General features: G+C 38.6%; 1 protein-coding gene across 3 annotated transcripts in view; it reads right to left on the bottom strand.

The window, feature by feature from the left end:
* Positions 1-20,953, bottom strand: part of SPDYA (speedy/RINGO cell cycle regulator family member A) — a 39,777-nt gene that overhangs the window by 13,949 nt on the left and 4,875 nt on the right. For all 3 annotated transcript variants that reach the window (NM_182756.4, NM_001142634.2, NM_001008779.1), the window contains 4 exons: positions 20,413-20,665; positions 17,556-17,614; positions 14,252-14,337; positions 7,343-7,514 (listed from right to left, as the gene is read on the bottom strand). In NM_182756.4, the coding sequence (NP_877433.2) occupies positions 7,343-7,514; positions 14,252-14,337; positions 17,556-17,614; positions 20,413-20,647 (552 nt within the window). In that variant the 5' untranslated portion in view covers positions 20,648-20,665. Of the gene's footprint in view, positions 1-7,342; positions 7,515-14,251; positions 14,338-17,555; positions 17,615-20,412; positions 20,666-20,953 lie in introns of those variants that run through there.

The raw sequence follows: 20,953 nt of genomic DNA, 5'->3' as shown, positions 1-20,953 counted from the left end.
ACCCAAAAGGGAAATTTCGACTAAAAGGGGAAAGCAGACATGCCAGTAATAAAATGTAATAGAGTTGATGTGGTCAAGGATAATACCTGGCTTTTAGCTTCTTTGCAGCCAAGATTAAAAAAAGAAAAGAGACAATTACAAAACTCACTATTTGAAAAGACAGCACATGTTCTTTCTTATGTCAGTGGTGTATAATTCAAAGAGCACTAAGTTATTAGTATCTGCTACTTATTAACTTCATGGCCATGGACAAATCACAATCTTACTAAGCCACAGTTTTTGCATCTGTGAAATGGAGGGAATACTGCGGCTATTTAATTCCCAAGACAAGAAATAAATGCATTTTCTAAACTAACCAATATGAGAGGTTTATATGGAGGCTAGATGTCACAGAAAAAAGAGAACACTAGGAAGTCATTAGATGTTCTGGCTCTGCAACTTCTATGATTTTGAGTAAATCCCAGCCTCCTCGGTCCTCAGTTTCATTAGCTGTGAAATGAGGATGCCACCACCCCCACAGCTATTTGTGTGATAATTTCTGTAAAAGTCATAATTTGTAAAGCACTGTGCAAATGTAAAGTATTATTATTATAAGCTAGTTTGTAGCTACTATCTTAACTTGAGGTTATTTTAGGATATGGGACTAAAGAAATGTTTCGTTTGGCAGTATGCCAGGCTTTCAGTAACAAATGTATAGAACAGTTACATTTTCAACAGTATGTCTTGCTATTTCAGGAATGGGAATGGGGTGATATAATACTTCTTTACAATAAACTCCCAGGGCACTGAACTTGGTGTGTTATTCATAAAGTAGTTGTCCAGTGAACACTTAACAGAACAGGATAAAATCTACTAGGCAGTTACCTTTTCTATACGCCTACAGGATTCAAATGTACCTTGTTGGAACAGCCAAAAAACAGCTTCTCTATCTGCCACTGGAGTAAGCGGCAGTGCAAAGTGAGCTCAGTGAATAATTATTTTATAGTTTATTGTTTCCCTATTTAATGGATAAGAAGGTATGAAAAAGAATTGGAAGTTCCATTCATTTGATCAGTCAACAAATATTTATTGACTACCCACTATGTGCCAGGCACTGTTCTAGGCTCTGGAGATAGAATAAGAACAAAATAAGGCTGGGCGCTCATGCCTGTAATCCCAGCACTCTGGGAGGCTGAGGCAGGTGGATCACTTGAGATCAGGAGTTTGAGACCAGCCTGGCCACCATGGTGAAAACCCTGTCTCTACTAAAAATACAAAATAGCCGGGCGTGGTGGCGCATGCCTGTAATCCCAGCTGTAATCCTAGCTACTTGGGAAGCCGAGGCAGGAGAATCGCTTGAACCCAGGAGGTGGAGGTTGCAGTGAGCCAAGATCACGCCATTGCACTCCAGCCTGGGTGACAGAATGAAACTCTGTCTTAAAAAAAAAAAAAAAAAGGTCAGGCACTATGGCTCACATCTGTAATCCCAGAACTTTGGGAGGCCAAGGTGGGAGGATTGCTTGAGCCCAGGAGTTCAAGGTTGCAGTGAGCTACGATTGCACACTGCAGCTGGCAGCCTGGGTAACAGAATGAGACCCTGTCTCAAAAACAAAAACAAAACAAAACAAACAAATGCAAAATAAAGACCCTGCTCTCTTGGAATCTGTATTTTAGTGGGAGGAAATTTATTAACAAGATAAATAAGTAAAAAGCAGTCTGTTACATGATGGTTGAGTGCTATGAGGAAAATTGGAACTGAGAAAGGGAATACAGAGTAATAGTGGGAGGAACTACTTTTAATTTTAACAGCTTTGAAATGTAATTAAAATACCTTAGAATCACCCAATTGAAATGTACAATTCAATGATATTCAATATATTCAGAGTTAAGCAACCATAACCACGGTCAATTTTGAAGCATTTTCATCACTCTATATATAAAGCAATCACACTCCATTTTCTCCCTTCTCTCAGCCCATAACAACTACTAATCTACTTTCTGTCTTTGAATTTGTCCATTCTGGACCTTTCATATAAATGGAATCATACAATATGTCGTCCTTTGTGACAGGCTTCTTTTATGTAGCATAATCTTTTCAAGGTTATCTGCGTTGTAGCTTGAACCAGGTACTTCATTCCTTTTAATTGCCAAGTAATATTTTATTGTAGGGATATACCTTATTTTGTTTATCCATTCTATCAGCTGATGGACATTCAGGTTGTTTGTACTTTGGCTATTATGAATACTGCTATGAACATTCATGTTAAAGTTTTTTGTGTGGACATAGTTTTGTTTTTACCCTTTGGCATATATAGCCAGGACTAGACTTGCTGGATCATATGGTAACTCTATGTTAACCTTGTGAGGAATTGCCAGACTGTTATGCAAAGCAACTTCCCCATTTTACATTTCCATAAGAAGTGTATGAGGGTTCCAGTATCTCCACATCCTCTTCAATACTTTTATTTTTGTTTTGTTTATAGCCATCATAGTGGGTGTGAAGTAATATCTCATCGTGCTTTTGATTTGCAATCCCTGACAGCTAATGATGTTGAACATCTTTTCAAGTGTGTGTGTGTGTGTGTGTGTGTGTGTGTGTGTTTTAGCAATTTGCATACCTTCTTTGGAGAAATGTCTATTTGGATTATTTGCCCATTTTTTAAATTGATTGTCTTTTTATTATTAAGTTGTAAAGCTCTTTATATTTCTAGATACAAGACCCTTATCAAATAGATGACTTGCAAAAAATTTTTTTCATTTTATAGGTCATCTCTTCACTTGGTATCCTTTGAAGGACAAAAGGTTTTAATTTTGATGATGTCTATTTTATATTTTCTTTTGTTACATGTTACTTTTGGTATCATGTCTAAGAAACCTAATTCAAGGTCACGAAGACTTACCCCTATGTTTTCTTCTAAGAGTTTTATGGTTTTAGGTTTTACATTTAGGTCTTTGATCCATTTTGAGTTAATTTTTATATATGGTATAAACCAGAGGTTCGGCTTCATTCTTTTGCTTGTAGATATCCAGTTGTCATAGCACCATTTGTTGAAAAGACTACATTTTCCCCATTGAATTTTCTTGGCACCCTTGTCAAAATTCAATTGAACATAATTGTGACGGTATATTTCTGGACACTTCTATTCCATGGAGGGAGATACTACTCTATATAAGGTGATAAGGAAAGGTCTCTCTGAGGTGACATTTAAGCAGAATCCTGAACGTAGTTAGGAAGTGAAGCATACTGATATTTGGGGAACAACATTCCAGGTTATGGGAATAGTAAGTGCAAAGACCATGAGATGGGAGTGTAACTGGTATCTTTGAGGTAAGGAGGCCGGTGTAGCTTGAGTGGAAGAGCAAAGATATGAGATGAAATCAAAGAGATAAGGGAGGAGGGCTGATAGACCATGTAGGACCATGACAGGGACTTTCTCTTTTACCCTATGTAAGGCTGGAAGACACTGGAGGCTTTTGAGTAGAGAAGTCATGATTTGACTTACCTAAAAAAAAAATTACTCTGGCAGCTGTATGAAGAATAGATTATAGCTGCATATGGTGGCTCACACCTGCAATCCCAGCACTTTGGGAGGCCAAGGTGGGAGGATTGCTTAGGCACAGGATTTTGAGACCGGCCTGGGCAACATAGCGAGACCCCATCTCTACAAAAAATAAATTAGCTGGGCATGGTGGCACATGCCTGTAGTCCCAGCTACTTGGGAGGCTAAGGCAGGAGATCGCTTGAGTCTAGGAGGTTAAGGCTGCAATGAGCCATGATCTCACCACTGCACTACTGCCTGGGTAACAGAGTAAGACCCTGTCTTTAAAAAAAAAAAAAAGGTGGGGGTGGGAGAGACTATTTGGAAACTTATGCCAGTAATCAAGGCAAGAGGTGACAATAAAAGTATAGTATTAGTGGTGGAGGTGGTGAGAAATGGTAGGATGCTGGATATTTTTTCAAGGTACAAATATAAGAAAAAGAAGGGTAAATGGAAATAATTTTTTGGCCTGAGCAACTAAAACAATAGAGTTGCTACTTATGAATATGTGGAAGACTGCAGGAGGAGCAAATCTGGAGGTCTGTGTCAAGGAGTCAGGAGTTCAATTTTAGGCACGTTAAGTTTGAGGTATCAATTAGACAAAAAATACCAACAGGCGATTTCGTATGCAGATCTGGAATTGGAAGAAATTATTAGTTGTTAGTGTTAAAGCCTTGAGAGTGAATGGGGTCACCTAATAAGTTAATACCAATAGAAAGGAGAAGAGATCCTAAGTCTGAGCCCTGGGGCACTCTAATGAAGTTGGTGAGGTGAAAAGGAACTGGCAAAAATGACTGAAAAAAACCTGGTATCCTCAAAACCAAGTGAAGACAGTGTTTCAGGAAGAAATGAGGGATAGTGTCAAATGCTGCTAAATTGAGTAGATTGAGGAATACAAATTAACCTTGGGATTTGGCCATATAGAGATATTTGGTGGCCTGACAAGTTTCTACAGAATGATAGGAAAAATACTTTATATAACAGGTTCAAACAGAATGGAAAGAACAGAAGTAGAGATAGAATACAAGCAATTCTTCAAGGAGTTTGGTTATAAGGGAGGCAAAGCAGAGAAATGTAGTGGTAGCTGGGGGATAAAGTTTTTGTTTTTGTTTTTATTGATGGATATCTTAGAGCAATTCTACATTCTGATGGCAGTGATCCAATAAAATAAAAAATGTGAAATGCTGGAAAGGGGACAATTACTGGAATGTGATGTCCTTGAGAAAGCAAGAAAAGATGAGATCTAGTGCACAAGTAGAGGGAATGGATTTGGATAGGAGCAAAGATCGTTCTTTCACAGTAACAAAGGGAAGGCAGAATATAGGGGTACGCATGTAGGTAGGATAGACGATAAGATGTGAGCACGTGGACAGTCTGTTCTACTGCTTCTCTTTTCTCAGTAAAAGAGAGTAATGCATGATTGTTGTAATTGAAGTGTGAGGACAGAGATGGGAGATATTAGAAGTGTACTAGATTTTTTACTTCATTACATTTACAGTTTATTGTTTAGACAATAGATAAGCAAATAAATAATTACAAATTTTATTCAGTGCTACAGAAGGAAACAAAGTATTGTGATAAGGATAATGGAATTAAATTCATTTAAATAAGGTGACCTTTTTGAAGAGGAAAAACAAGTTCCATTAATTTTTTTAAATGTTGCTAAATTTTAAAATTATGAAAAAGCATTAGGAATAATATAACAAACATCCATATCCCTACTGCCTAGAATTAATAGATGTAATACTGCTATTTTTGCTTCAAGCCTTTTTTATTTTTATTTTTTGGGACAGGGTCTTGCTCTGTTGCTGAGGCTGGAGGGCAGTGGCATAATCATGGCTCACTGCAGCCTGAATCTTCTGGGCTCAGGTGATTCTCACACCACAGCCTCTCAAGTAGCTGGGACTACAGGTGTGCACCACCACGCCTACCTAATTTTTTGTATTTTTTGTGGAGACAGTGTTTTGCCATGTTACCCAGGATGGTCTTGAACTCTTGGACTCAAGTGATCCAGGCCACCTTAGCCTCCAAAAGTGCTGGGATTACAGGTGTGAGCTACCATGCCTGCCTGCCCTTTTTAAATTAAAAGAAATAATATAGTTTCTGGTATGTATTTACTAAGTGCTCACTAAATCAATGTATATTAATGAATAAGTTAATTCTATCAAATCTTAAGATTTGCAAGTATATCAACATTTATCAAATTTTTCTTAACTAATACTAGAGCTTACAGTGACCACTGCTTTCCATTTAATTTTCTACTCTAGAATTTTTCTGTGGTTTGAAATAGTGACTTTATTAAAAACCAGAACATTTGGTAAAATAACTGATTATTAAATTTTTAGTGTCTTGCTGATTTATCCTAAAAGATTTGGCATTAAGGAAACAATATATTCTTTGTGAAAAGAGTTATGATTTTAAAGAATATTTAAATTGTATACCATTTAATATATGTGTTAAATAGTGTTTCAATTTTGGGAACCTGAAATTTCACATACTTTATTGAGCAGAAATTATTATTCAACTCCAGTGTTATTGTAATCCTAAATAAGATATTTTGGTTTGTTCATATCACCCTTTTTCAATATATTGATGATCCTTTAGACAGAAGAAATACACTAAAATAAAAGTACTTACTATAAGCCGGGCACGGTGGCTCACGCCTGTACTCCCAGCACTTTGGGAGGCCGAGGCGGGCGGATCACAAGGTCAGGAGATTGACACTATCCTGGCTAACACGGCGAAACCCCGTCTCTACTAAAAATACAAAACATTAGCCAGGCATGGTGGCGGGCGCCTGTAGTCCCAGCTAATTGGGAGGCTGAGGCAAGAGAATGGCGTGGACCCGGGAGGCGGAGCTTGTAGTGAGCAGAGATCGCACCACTGCACTCCAGCCTGGGTGACAGAGCAAGACTCTGTCTCAAAAAAAAAAAAAAAAAAAAAGTACTTACTATAGAAGTAGGCTGCTCTGAAAAATAGAAATGACAATTTGTTTGTTTGTTTTTGAGATGGAGTTTCGCTCTGTTGCCCAGGCTGGAGTACAGTGGCACCATCTCAGCTCACCGCAACCTCTGCCTCCTGGGTTTAAGTGATTCTCCTGCCTCAGCCTCCCAAGTAGCTGGGATTACAGGCACCAGCCACCACATTTGGTTAATTTTTGTATTTTTCTTTTTCTTTTCTTTTCTTTTTTTTTTTTTTTTGAGATGGAGTCTCGCTCTGTCGCCCAGGCTGGAGTGCAGTGGCGCGATCTCTGCTCACTGCAAGCTCCGCCTCCTGGGTTCACACCATTCTCCTGCCTCAGCCTCCCAAGTAGCTGGGACTACAGGCGCCTGCCACCACGCCCGGCTAATTTTTTTTGTATTTTTAGTAGAGACGGGTTTCACCATGTTGGCCAGGATGGTCTTGATCTCCTGACCTCGTGATCTGCCCGCCTCGGCCTCCCAAAGTGCTGGCATTACAGGCGTGAGCCACCGCACCCAGCCTAATTTTTGTATTTTCAGTAGAAATGGGGTTTCACCATGTTGGCCAGGCTGGTCTCAAACTCCTGACCTCAGGAGATCCACCCGCCTCAGCCTCTCAAAGTGCTGGGATTACAGGCGTGAGCAGGGCTTGCCCGGTTGACAGTTTTTAGTTATGGTGATAATAAGACAGCAACATTGTAATACACAAGTTGTATTCATGGTAATGATCAATGGTCTACTCCACATATTAGAAAAAAAAAAAAAACCCAGAATACCAAAACATTAGAAGCACATTAAAAAACAAGGATAATAAGATAAACAGAAAACAAAGATTACATATATAAAGCATTTTAAAATTCTTACCTCCTCACAACATCGCCTGCTTACAATAGCCCTATAGTCAATTCTATCCCAGAGCTGGTCCCTTAACTTTAAGAAATTAGGGAACAATTTTCTCCAGTTTTTCCCTAAAGCCCATGGAAAAATTTCGTACTTGGTTTCTTCTTCATCTTCTTCAACTGTATTAGCCAGATACCTAACAAAGAAGATCACAACCCAAAAAAGAAATGGGTAAAGGACAGAAACAGGTAGTTCACATACACCAAGACATAAAAGTGGTTTATAAACACATGAAAGGTGTTCAACGTTAATTAAAGAAATGCAGTTCAAAAATAGAGATACATGTAGTTAATTTTACCTTGTTGGGTTCTAGGTATTTCTTATTCCTACAAATCTTGAGCTTTGTTCTGGGATGCAGTTAGTTACTTTGAAATAGTCTGATTCTTTCAGATGTTGCTTTTATGATTTTTTTAGGTGGATCTGGAACAATGTTCAGTCTGGGGCTAGTTATTCCTCACTACTGAGGCAAGACCTTCCTGAGTACTCTTCTCAATGCTCCATGAATTATGAATCTTTTCAGCCTGGCTGGTGGGAACAGCCACTATTTGCAGCCGTATGTGAATGTTAGGCAGTATTCCTCCTAATCTTTTCTTAACATCTTTCCTCAGATTCAGGTAATTTTCTTATACACATATGAAACTCAGCATTCTGCTGAATGCTTGATGGGGACCAGGCATGCACAGAAGCAGGAAAACATGACTCATCATAAGGCGACTAATCAAAATCAACCCCAAACTGATACCCATGGTTGACATAAAAGATAAGGACACTGGAACAGTTATAACTATTCTGTATGTTCAAAAAGTTAAGTAGACATATTGAAAATGTACTTTTAGAGATGAAAACTACAATGTGTACAATGAAAAATACACTGATTGGGATTAATGGCAGATTAAATATTACAGAGAAAACATCTGTGAATTGAAGACACAATAGAAAGTATTCAAGATGAAATACACAGAGAAAAAAGAAACAAAAATCATAAACACAAGATGAGGGCCGGGCGTGGTGGCTCACTCCTGTAATCTCAGAACTTTGGGAGGCCAAGGTGGGCGGATTGCTTGAGGCCAGGAGTTCAAGATCTGCCTGGCCAACACAGTGAAACCCCATCTCTCCTAAAAATACAAACATTAGCTGGGCGTGGTGGCCTGCGCCTGTAATCCCAGCTACTTGGGAGGCTGAGGCAGGAGAATCGCTTGAACCCGGAAGGCAGAGGTTACAGTGAGCCACCGAGATTGCAACACTGCACTCCAGCCTGGGTGACGGGGAGACTCTGTCTCAAAAAGAAAAAAGAAAAAAGAAAAAAATAAGAAAAAATAAACACAGCATCAGTTTGATGTGGGACTTCAAGAAACAGGCGGAATTGGAGACTCTGAAGGCCAGTATCAATAACAATGAAGGATTCTTTCAATGCACTGTAATCTGAATAGGGCAGACAGAAAATGAGGTGGACAGAAGACATTTGAAGGAGTAACAGCTGAAAGTTTTTGAAATTTAATAAAAACTATAAACCTACAAAGAAGTTCAATGAACCTCAAAGCACATGAAACATGAAGAAAATTAAACCAGTGAACACCACAATCAAATTGCTCAAAACCAGTGATAAAGAGTAAATCTTAAAAGTACTCAGAGAAAAAAAAACCATTAGATAACACAGGCACCATGATTAGGATGGGGTAGATTTCTCATTGGAAATAGTACAAGTCTCACAGATGACTTTCCAAGAAAAACAGGCAACTTACAATAAAAATATTACAAAACACATAAGGGAACAAGGTACCAAGAACAGTAACAGACCCTGAAATCTGAAAGTAATGGAACAGACACAGAAAGTAAGAATAACTATTTCCAGTAAAGATAATACGATACATGGAAAAGTATATTTGAAAAAGAAGAAAATAGAACTTTTATAAATGGAAAATTTTATAATGAAATTAGCATATTAGACATAAGCTGAAGATAAAATTAGTGAACTGAGAGATAAGTCTAAATAAATGATCTAAAATGCAGCCCAAAGAAACACAGATAGAAAATAGCAAAGATTGGCCCGGCTCGGTGGCTCACGCCTGTAATCCCAGCACTTTGGGAGGCTGAGGCGGGTGGATCACGAAGTCAGGAGATTGAGACCATCCTGGCTAACACGGTGAAACCCCGTCTCTACTAAAAAATACAAACAAATTAGCCAGGCGTGGTGGCGGGCGCCAGTAGTCCCAGCTACTCGGGAGGCTGAGGCAGGAGAATGGCGTGAACCCGGAGGCGGAGCTTGCAGTGAGCCGAGCACTCCAGCTTGGGCGACAGAGCGAGACTCCTTCTTAAAAAAAAAAAAAAAAAAAAGAAAGAAAAGAAAAAAGAAAATAGCAAAGATGGGGATGGGTCCAGTGGCTCACACCTGTAATCCCAACACTTTAGAAGGCTGAGGCAGGTGGAGTGCTTGAGCTGAGGAGTTCGAAACCCAGCCTGGGCAACATGGAGAAACCCCATCTCTACAAAAAAATACAAAAATTAGCTGGGTGTTGTGGTGAATGCCTGTGGTCCCAGCTATTCGGGAGATTGAGGTGGGAGGATCCCTTGATCCAGGGAGGTGGAGATCGCAGTGAGCTGAGATCACACCACTGCACTCCAGCCTGGGCAACAGTTAGACTGTCTCAAAAAAAAAAAAAAAAAAAAAAAAAGAGAGAAAGAAAGAAAAAGAAAATTTCAAAGATAAGTGATGGGGAAGACCGAGCGAGGCATAACAAGTTTAATTGGTTTCAAAAGGAGAAAAAGGAGATAGCAGAGGAAGAGAAATATTTGAAGAGACAGTGGATAGAATTTTCTGAGTTGTCTGTTGAAAGGCATCAATCTTCAGGCCAGGCTCAGTGGCTCACGTCTGTAATCCCAGTACTTTGGGAGGCTTAGGCGGGTGGATTACCTGAGGTCAGGAGTTTGAGGCCAGCTTGGCCAATATGGTGAAACCCTGTCTCTACTAAAAATACAAAAGTTAACCAGGCATGGTGGTCTGTGCCTGTAGTCCCAGCTACTTGGGAGATTGAGGTGGAAGGATTGCTTAAACCTGGGTGGCAGAGGTTGCAGTGAGCCAAGATGGTGCCAATGCACTCCAGCCTGGGTGACAGAGCAAGACTCCATCTCAAAAAACAAAAACGAAAAACATCAATCCTTAATCTTCAGAAAGGTTACCAAATCCCAAGTAAGTTATTAAAAAGAAACCAGTGCCAAACACCAAAGAAAAAGAGGTCTTAAAAGCAGCCAGAAGGCCAGGTGTGCAGCTCATGCCTGTAATTCCAGCACTTTGGGAAGGATGGCTTGAAGTCAGGAGTTTGAGACCAGTCTGGGCAACATGGCAAAACTCCATCTTTAAAAAAAAATAAAAAATAAAAAATTAGCCGGGTGTCGTGCTATGTGCCTGTGGTCCCAGCTACTCAGGAGGCTGAGGCAAGAAGATCACTTTAACCCTAGAGGTAGAGGTTGCAGTGAGCCAAGATCATGCTGCTGCACTCCAGCCTGGGTGACAGAGTGAGACCCTGTCTCAAAAAAAAAATTAAGAACCTCCTATATGTTAGTAATTGAAAGATGAAATAAAATGTTATATGTTCCTTGCCCATAAGGAGCCTACAATTAAGTAAAGAAGGCAAGTAAGCATGAAACAAATAATTGTGAAAGGTAATGTGGAAGAATGATAATAGAAGTTCAGAGTCTTATAAGAATACATAGAAAGGAAACATTATAAGACTGTATAGAAAGGAAAAGAACTTGAGCTTTAGAACTATGGCTGAGAAAATATTTAACGAGGAGAACTATTGAGGCCATACAAAAAGTATGATTAGTCTTAAAATGGAAATTATAATTCATGTTATTTTTAATATGGAGCTTACATAATACAACATGCAGTACAACCTTACAGATAATTGTATTGCATAAACTCAATAGTGCTCTACTGGTAATAACTTTATAAAACAAGTTAAACGAATTCAATTTCAGGCATCTAGTAAGATTTAAACTAAAGCTTCTTTTGGTTTGTTTTTAATTCTCAGGTAAAAAAAAAACACAAAATAAATATTGCATCAACATAGATACAATACAATACTGAGATATATAAACAGCAATTTAACTTAGTGGTTGATGGCTGAATTTGGTCATTGATAACCACTCCTGAGTTTGTGCCCCTGCTTTGCTGCTTACTAACTTGTTTGTTCTTAGAAAGTACTTAATCTTCCTCTCAGTTTCCTCATCTGTAAAATGGGGATAATAAAAAATTTATTTCATAGGGAAAATTAAATGAGTTAATACTACATTAAAATTTTTTGTGGTGCCTTGCACATAGTACTCAGTATTACCTAATACTATTATATTTAGCAATCATCCTAAATTTTGAGTTCATTTTTCCCTGTGCACTGGAAAATATATCTCCTGAATACAAGTAGAAATCAGTTTCTTTGGCTGGGCGCGGTGGCTCACGCCTGTAATCCTAGCACTTTGGGAGGCCGAAGCAGGTGTATCATGAGGTCAGGAGATCAAGACCATCCTGGCTAACACAGTGAAACCCCATCTCTACTAAAAATACAAAAAAAAATTAGCCGGGCGTGGTGGCATGCGCCTGTAGTTCCAGCTATTCAGGAGGCTGAGGCAGGAGAATTGCTTGAACCTGGGAGGTGGAGGTTGCAGCAAGCTGAGATAATGCCACTGCACTCCAGCCTGGGCAACAGAGAGAGACTCTGTCACAAAAAAAAAAAGAAAGAAAGAAAAGAAAAAGAAAAAAGAAATCAGTTTCTTCTAGTCCTGTTTTTTTTTTTTGTTTTTTTTTTTTTCTCCTGACAGCATCTTGCTCTGTTGCCCAGGCTGGAGTATAGTGGTGATCATAGCTCACTGCAGCCTTGAACTCCTGGGCTCAAGTGATCCTCTTCATCTCAGCCTCCCAAGTAGCTGGCACTACAGGCACATGCCACCATGCCTGGCTAATTTTTTTATTTTTATTTGTGTAGAGACTTACTATGTTGTCCAGGCTGGTCTTGGACTTCCAGCCTGAAGCAATCCTTCCGCCCCAGCCTCCCAAAGTGCTGGGATTACAGGCGTAAGCCACTGTACCCAGCCTAGTCCTATTTCTTTAATAACTCTTTGATTCTGAATTAAATACACTTTGAGTAAAAACTTTACCTTCAGTGCTGACAGCTATTGTGGTATTCAACTTAAATATTTTTTATATGTGTTCTCTAGGTAAACACTTAAAATTATATTCATATGGCTGGGCGCGGTGGCTCACGCCTGTAATCCTAGCACTTTGGGAGGCTGAGGCAGGCGGATCACTTGAGGTCAGGAGTTCGAGACCAGCCTGGCCAACGTGGTAAAACCTCATCTCTACTAAAAACACAAAAAATTAGTTGGGCGTGGTGGTGGGAGCCTGTAATCCCAGCTACTTGGGAAGCTGAGGCAGGAGAATTGCTTGAACCCGGGAGGCAGAGGTTGCAGTGAGCCAAGATCACGCCACTGCACTCCAGCCTGGGTGACAGAGTGAGACTCCATCTCAAAAAAAAAAAAAAATTTTATATATATATATATATATATATATATATATATATATATATATTCATGCATTCCCAACTACAGCATTATATCCAGCTATAGGGTAGAAAAGGAAATATACTCTTTTTTTTTTTTTCTTTCCTGAGACGGAGTCTTGCTCTGTCTCCCAGGCTGGAGTGCAGTGGTGTGATTTCGGCTCACTGCAACCTCCACCTCCCGGGTTCAAGCGATTCTCCTGCCTCAGCCTACCGAGTAGCTGGGATTATAGGTGCCCACCACCACGCCCAGCTAACTTGTGTATTTTTAGTAGAGACAGGCTTTCAACCATGTTGGCCAGGCTGGTATCGAACTCCTGACCTCAGATGATCCACCCGCCTCGGCCTCCCAAAGTGTTGGGATTACAGGCGTGAGCCACCGTGCCTGGCCAGAAACATATTCTTAAATAATGCAAATTCCAAATGTATTCTGACCTATAGATTGGAAAACCATTTCACAGATCACAATGAATATAAACTAAAGTCAGTGGAAGAACTGGAAAACAACTGTATTCCTTTGTCACAGCTCAGTGTGTTTAGTAAAAGAGCCAGTGAATACCAATGGTATCAAATACGAATAATGACTATGTTATAGATATAGGTCCACAAAGACTATGTTTAGAGCATTTTCCACAAGTTGTTCAATGTAAAAGGGCAATGATGATGGTGATTTTTACTATATATTAATTGAAAATTTCAGAGAATATTCTGGTTTTAAAAAATATCTAAGTCACAAAGAGGAGAATTTGGGATAATTTATATGGAAGCATTCTGAAAAATGTAAAACATGCAATACAAATTGAAGAGGAATACTCCAAGAAATCTTGGCCAGGCGCAGTGGCTCACACCTGTAATCCCAGCACCTTGGAAGGCCGAGGCGGGCAGATCACGAGGTCAGGAGATCAAGACCATCCTGGCCAACATGGTGAAACCCCGTCTCTACTAAAAATACAAAAATTAGCTGAGCGTGGTGGCACGTGGCTGTAATCTCAGCTACTTGGGAGGCTGAGGCAGGATAATCACTTGAACCAGGGAGTCAGAGGTTGCAGTGAGTCAGGATTGTGCCACTGCACTCCAGCCTGGCAACACAGCGAGATTCCTTCTCAAAAATAAATAAATAAATAAAAAAGGAAATCTTAGGCATATAGCATGATAAGTGAAAAAAACATAAAAATATCCTATTAAAGTAAAAAACATACAGCATTTATACAGGAAGGCCTATTCAAAGATATACATAAGGTTTTAAATAGCCTCTGTTTTAAATAAGGTGTAATGTATATAATAGATAACACAACAATCACTTAGTAGAAAGTATACTTACAGAGCAATAAAGAAATTTATCCTGGTATGCTCACTTATAGTAAATTTAGCCCTCTTGAAATAAACAAAGGTCATAGCCAAAAGATACTATAAGGAAAAAAGTTAAAAATTAATATTAATGTTTTGCTTTCATAAATAAAACTGCTTTAAAATAGTTAACTTTAAAATTTTCTGATGAATAAGCTAAAACAATAAAGTGTTACTTATTATAGAATTGTGTACTTAATTTTTGGATTCCTGTAATCCACCATGTGAACAGTGAAAAGTAATTCTTGACTATTTATTATATCATTATAAACTAGAATGGACTCCTAAATTTTATTATTGCCAATAGTTTGAGCTAAAATCCCACTTTTATCTAATTTAAATTTCAAACCTATACAGAAACTGAAATAACAGCAAAATGAACAGCCATGCATCCTCACTTAGATGCACCAAATTTGCCATGTTTGCTATCTCTATTTGTGTGTATGTATGTGTATATATAATTTTTCTAAACCCTTTTAGTTACAGACATCCATACTCACTTTTTAAAATAACTTTTTAAAATGATTTCCAAATGACTTCAGAAATTAGAATAACATGGCTGTATTTTCATGGGGAGAATGTGTTTTAAATGTATTATTAGAAAGATACATCTCTAGCCTGATTATTAGCACATATGCCAGGTTCTGTCTGTTCAAATTAAAAACAAGTTATAATAATGTATCAGATTATCTCTCGTAAGACATTTATTCATCCTATTGTAACAGGATTTGCCACAAAGGTGATACCAAGTTTTCACAGTAACTTCCAGTAAAGTACTCTTGAGATCGTGTTAAGACAGTACTCCAGGTAGTTACTTTTCCAACACTGCCCCCTTCTGCACAACAACTTTACTGCACCTTAAAACCATAAAGTTTAAAACTTCCTGACGGGCGCAGTGGCTCACACCTGTAATCCCAGCACTTTGGGAGGTCGAGGCGGGTGGATCACAAGGTCAGGAGTTCAAGACCAGGCTGGCCAATATGGTAAAACCCCCATCTCTACTAAAAATACAGAAAAATTAGCCGGGCGTGGTGGCACATGCCTGTAATCCCAGACATTTGGGAGGCTGAGGCAGGAGAATTGCTTGAACCCGGGAGGCGGAGGTTGCAGTGAGCTGAGATCACGCCACTGCACTCCAGCCTGGATGACAGAGTGAGACTCCATCTCAAAAAAAAAAAAAAAAAAAAGAAAAAGAAAAAAAAAAAATCACATCATAACTCCACATGAATTGTATATTTGATATTACAGCATTACTGTTAATTTTAAAAGTTCTATGACATTGTAATTGTTTTAAAACAGCTCTTAACTTTTAGTGATATATTGTGAAATATTTATGGATAAAATGTTAGGATGTCTGGGATCAGCTTCAAAATAATCGTTTTTGGTGAGAGGCATTAGAAGAAACAAGAACAGCCACAGTTGATCTATTGTAGCTAGATGAGATGCATATGGAGGCTCTTTGTTCTATTCTATTTACTTCAAATTGTGTATGTTTTAAATTTTCCAAAATGAAATTTAAAAAATTTTATAAACCTTCTTCTAGTGTATCCCTGTCATCTTAAGCTTAAATAAAAATCTTCACCCCAGTACTTTGTATTTAATCACAAGCTAACCTTCCACTCATTCCCTTTACTGTTGGCTAGTAGTGATGTAAAGTCACGCTTAATTTTCAAATATGACTGCTTGGTACAAAATGGCATTTACAAAGCTGAAAATTCTTAGCACGAGAAATATTTTTCTAAAAGAAAAAAATTGAAAAATACAAAGCTGAAATTTTATTTTATTATTATTATTTTTTTGAGACAGAGTCTCGATCTGTCGCCCAGGCTGGAGTGCAGTGGCTCGGTCTCGGCTCACTGCAACCTCTGCCTTCTGGGATCAAGCAATTCTCCTGTCTCAGCCTCCCGAGTAGCTGGGACTATGGGTGCGCACCACCACACCTGGCTAATTTTTGTATTTTTAGTAGAGACAGGGTTTCTCCATGTTGGCCAGGCTGGTCTTGAACTCCTGACTTCAGGTGATCTGCCCGCCTCAGCATCCCAAGCGCTAGGATCACAGGTATGAGCGACAAAGCTGAAATTTTAACCATTCAACAAAATCTAAAGAATATAGAAACATCGCTGCTCCCAGTGTGTAAGTCAGACATTCTTTTATGAAACACTGATTCCTAAACAACATGTTAAACTAATTTTACCCTACAAATTACTGAGATTTGTTTTCTCTGACTTACAAAATACTAAAATGCAGACTACCTTAGTAAAGTAAATCTCAGAATATTTTTTCTCCACAGCCTGATAAAAGGTAATAACTGATCAAAATGTATTAAGTCTATACTGATTTTCTGTTTGTGGTTCTTTGGTTTTTGTTCGTTTTTGAGACAGGGTCTGGCTCTGTCACCCAGGCTGGAGTGCAGTGGTGGTACCACAGCTCACTGCAGCCTTGATCTCCCTGGCTCAAGCAATCCTCCTGCCTCAGGATAAAATATATATATATATATATATATATATATATATATATATATATATATATATATATTTTTTTTTTTTTTTTTTTTTTTTTTTTTTAAGAGACCAGGTCTCCCTATGTTGCCAAGGCTGGTCTTGGAACTCCTGGGCTTAAGTGATCCTCTCGCCTTGGCCTTCCACAGTGTTGGGATTACAGGCATGAGCTGCCACACCTGTTTTGATTTCTGTTTTCAATCAAATACAAATTTAAGGTCATTTAAATGTAATCAATAATATTCTACAATTCCTTAAGTATAGACTGAATCTATGCTATATGCTAATTCCAGAAATTCATGTGTAAAGCTTCTGCTTTGAAGGAGCAGTGCAGGCTAGCTCTTATTTTTTTAATTTTTAAATTTAATTAATTTGTTTAGAGACAGAGTCTTGCTCTATTGTCCAAGCTGGAATGCAGTGGCACAATTGATCAAAGCTCACTGTATCCTCCAACTTCTGGGTTCAAGTGATCCTCCCACCTCAGCTGGGTGGCTGGAACTACAGGTGCATGCCACCACACTTGGCTAATTTTTAAATTTTTTAGAGATGGGGGTCTCACTATGTTGCCCAGGCTGGTCTCCAACTCCTGGCTTCAAGTGATCCACCCACCTCAGCCTCCCAAAGTTTTGGGATTACAGGTGTGAGCCACTGCACCTGGCCACTAGCTCTTTTCTTAATCATAACTAATAAGATAGAAAATTCTTATAAGGTCTCATTAAAGCTCTAATGGTTCAGTTACATTATAATGCTGGTTAATTGTTATACTGTTACCAAATTTACCTTGTCTGCAATTTTACAGCAGCAGTCCATCCACAAGAAATCTTGAATTAAATCGTCATCTACAACAAAAGATAGCTATAACTTGTCTTTTAAAAACAGAATGTTTCCTTTTGAAGAATTAATTTCTATGTCAAGAGATTATACATGGTGCTTAGAAATAAAACAAAAATGAATGAACCAGTGTTGCCTAAGGTGGAGTTTTCAGTTCTTTGGTGTATTTACCATTGCAAAGACTGTACGAAAAACTACTGCTTTATCCTTCATCAAGCCATCTGATTTGCCTTAACATATGGCTCAGATTGGAGAATGGTAGAAGTGTTTGGTTTACTGAATATCCAACAGTATTTTTAGTTTTGCATTCTTCTCTCCTATTTATCTCTATTCCACTTTCTATTACTCAAATACATATGAAAATGTCTATATAAAAAGGATTCATAATTCATTATTTATAATTAACATTTTGAAAAAACTATTAGGATAAAAAGATCAACAAACAAACACATTGTTAAAAATAATAACATCTAGAAAGTAGGTAAAATATTTCAATTCTAAAGGGCTAAAATATATAATCTCAAAATACATTAATAGTTGTCAGAATGTAATCTAGAAAAATCTGTTTTTCCATTCCCCCTTTCTCTCTTTCTCTTTTTTTTTTTTTTTTTTTTTAAAGAGACAGGGCCTCACTATGTTGCCCAGGTGGGCCTTGAACTTCTGGGCTCAAGTGATCCTCTGGCTTCAGACTCCTGAGTACCTGGAACTACAGGTGCATATGCCACCACGCCAGGCTCCTCTTCTTCATTTTAAGTAAAAAGGCATAACTTCTTTATATTCATTTGTGTACACTAAAATATCATCAATGTAGTCATACGGAAAGTTCCAAGAATAACTACTGATTTCCTGAGAATAAGAATTTCTGCCTTGCTAACTTTTTTTCCTTTTTTTAAACAGGGTCTCACTTTGTCACCCAGGCTGGAGTGCAGTGGCGTGATCTTGGCTCAACTGTAGCCTCAACCTCCTGGGTTTGAGATCCTCCCACCTCAGCCCCCCAGATAGCTGGGACTACAGGTATGCACCACCATGCCCAGATAAATTTTTTTTTTTTTGTATTGTAGAGAGGGGGTTTCACCACGTTGCCCCAGGCTGGTCTTGAACTCTTGAGCTCAAGCGATCCACTTGCCTTGGCCTCCCAAAGTGCTAGGATTACAGGCATGAGCCACCATATCCAGCCTTTTTTTTTTTTTTTTTTTTTTTTTTTGAGACAGAGTCTTGCTCTGTCACCCAGGCTGGAGTGCAGTGGCATGATCTCGGCTCAACTGTAGCCTCCACCTCCCAGGTTCAAGCGATTCTCCTGCCTCCGCCTCCCAAGTAGCTGGGATTACAGGCATGCACCACCACGCCTGATGGGGTTTCACCATGTTGGCCAGGCTGGTCTCGAACTCCTGGCCTCAAGTGGTCCGCCCCCTTCAGCCTCCTAAAGTGCTGGGATTACAGGAATGAGCCACTGCGCCTGGCCCATTAATTCTATTTATAGTTCTTTCTTTTTTTTTGAGACAGTTTCACTCTTGTTGCCCAGGCTGGAGTGCAATGGTGCGATCTCGGCTCACCGCAACCTCCACCTCCCGGGTTGAAGCGATTCTCCTGCCTCAGCCTCCCAAGTAGCTGGGATTACAGGCATGTGCCACCACACCCGGCTAATTTTATATTTTTAGTAGAGACAGGGTTTCTCCATGTTGGTCAGGCTGGTCTTGAACTCCTGACCTCAGCTGATCTGCCTGCCTTGGCCTCTCAAAGTGCTGGGATTACAGGCGTGAGCCACCGCGCCCAGGCTCTATTTATAATTTCTTAAGTTACCTAAAATGGTACAGCCAGGTATTTTCCCGTGTTTCTGATGATGAGTTTTGGGTACTAAAAAAGTTTGCAGGTAATAATTTTGTTCTGCTCTTAATGAAAAGAAGGGGAACTTTTATTAACATTCTAAATCTGATGGGGAAGCATCTTTATATCTTTTTCTACTTATATTCCTTACATTTTTTCCTGTTTCATCTTTTCATTTTGCTTTTCTTTAAATCGTAACTAGCTTGCTTTAATGCGCCTGACCTTCCTCTAGAAACAAGCAAGCTACAATCTACCAGACTGTAGCATCTACTTGACTTGATTCATTACTCCAAATATTTTTCAGAACTCATCTATCCTACCCCTTTTTCTAATCTGTTTACCTTATTACCCTACCTCAAAAAAAAAAAATTCCCTCTCTTTCCTAGTTAGGAGTACAGTACTATAAAGAAGTTTCTTTTTGCCAATGTTAAGAAATTATCAGCAAAGTAGCACTGTCTCATAACCTAAACAAATTCAAACTCAGTTTCATTATATGGACATGATAAAGCATAGTTAATTTTTAACAATGTTCCCAAACTGTTATCCTGAAACTTCTCTAGTGTGACCAAGCTTCCTAGTTTTCTTGGGTTTAGCAGAGAAAGTCCTGGGAAACCCCTTAGGCCCAGTCAAACTGGGTCAGTTAGCTCACCTGAGTCTTTATGTAGTATTTTATTTTAGGTCAAATAAAACTCATGCCATGGGCTATGAAGTTGAATTGCCCAGAATTTACATTTGACATCTGGATTTAAGTAGTCTAGAAGCTAGATGAGTATGAATTTTTAATCCATAAGGAAACAAAACAAACAAAAACCCAACATTGAAAAAAAAAGACTAAGTAAAACAAAAACAAATTTGGTTGGAGATGGGAAATTTAATACAAAAATAATGATATCCTCTTTGATCAGAATAAAAACATTTAGATGTTTACATTCTAGGTTTTTAGTACTTTATAATTACCACTATTACAATATTTTAAACCTACCAAATAATTTAAAGAAAGCAGTCATATCCTGACGCTGTATAACCAGACAAGGTCCTTTGGGGCGTTTAGATTTGTTGTTATTATGTGTATTTTTTTCAAATGCTTGCCAATTATCTTTACAAATAGGACGCTTCAGAGTAATGGGCTTTTTAGGCTGATGTGATCTATTTGACCCTGATTTTACATAAACAGTGACAGTAGGTGGTGTCTCACAACACATCTGATTGTGCCTCATTTTGGTTTCCCAATATTCCTGTAAAAATAAAACATACAATTATTCATCACACACATTCATTTCATATATAAACAACTAACTGGATGATACTACCATATGCAGTCATATAAAATGTTACTAAACTTGCCATTAAAATGTTATTTGTGACAGTGACTCCCATTAAAAATTGCTTTTGAAATTCAGCGCTAGGAAAAGCTATGCTTCTTTTGGGTAACAAACGGACATCCTCTTCCCAAATAAGAAGATACTGTATGCCATTTTGCTTTGGCTGCAGAACTCGACCAAATTTGAAAGTTAATTATAGAA

This window comes from Homo sapiens, chromosome 2, assembly GCF_000001405.40.
Source record: "Homo sapiens chromosome 2, GRCh38.p14 Primary Assembly".
In the NCBI taxonomy this organism is placed as follows: domain Eukaryota; kingdom Metazoa; phylum Chordata; class Mammalia; order Primates; family Hominidae; genus Homo; species Homo sapiens.
This window is presented reverse-complemented; position numbering and strand designations above follow the sequence as displayed.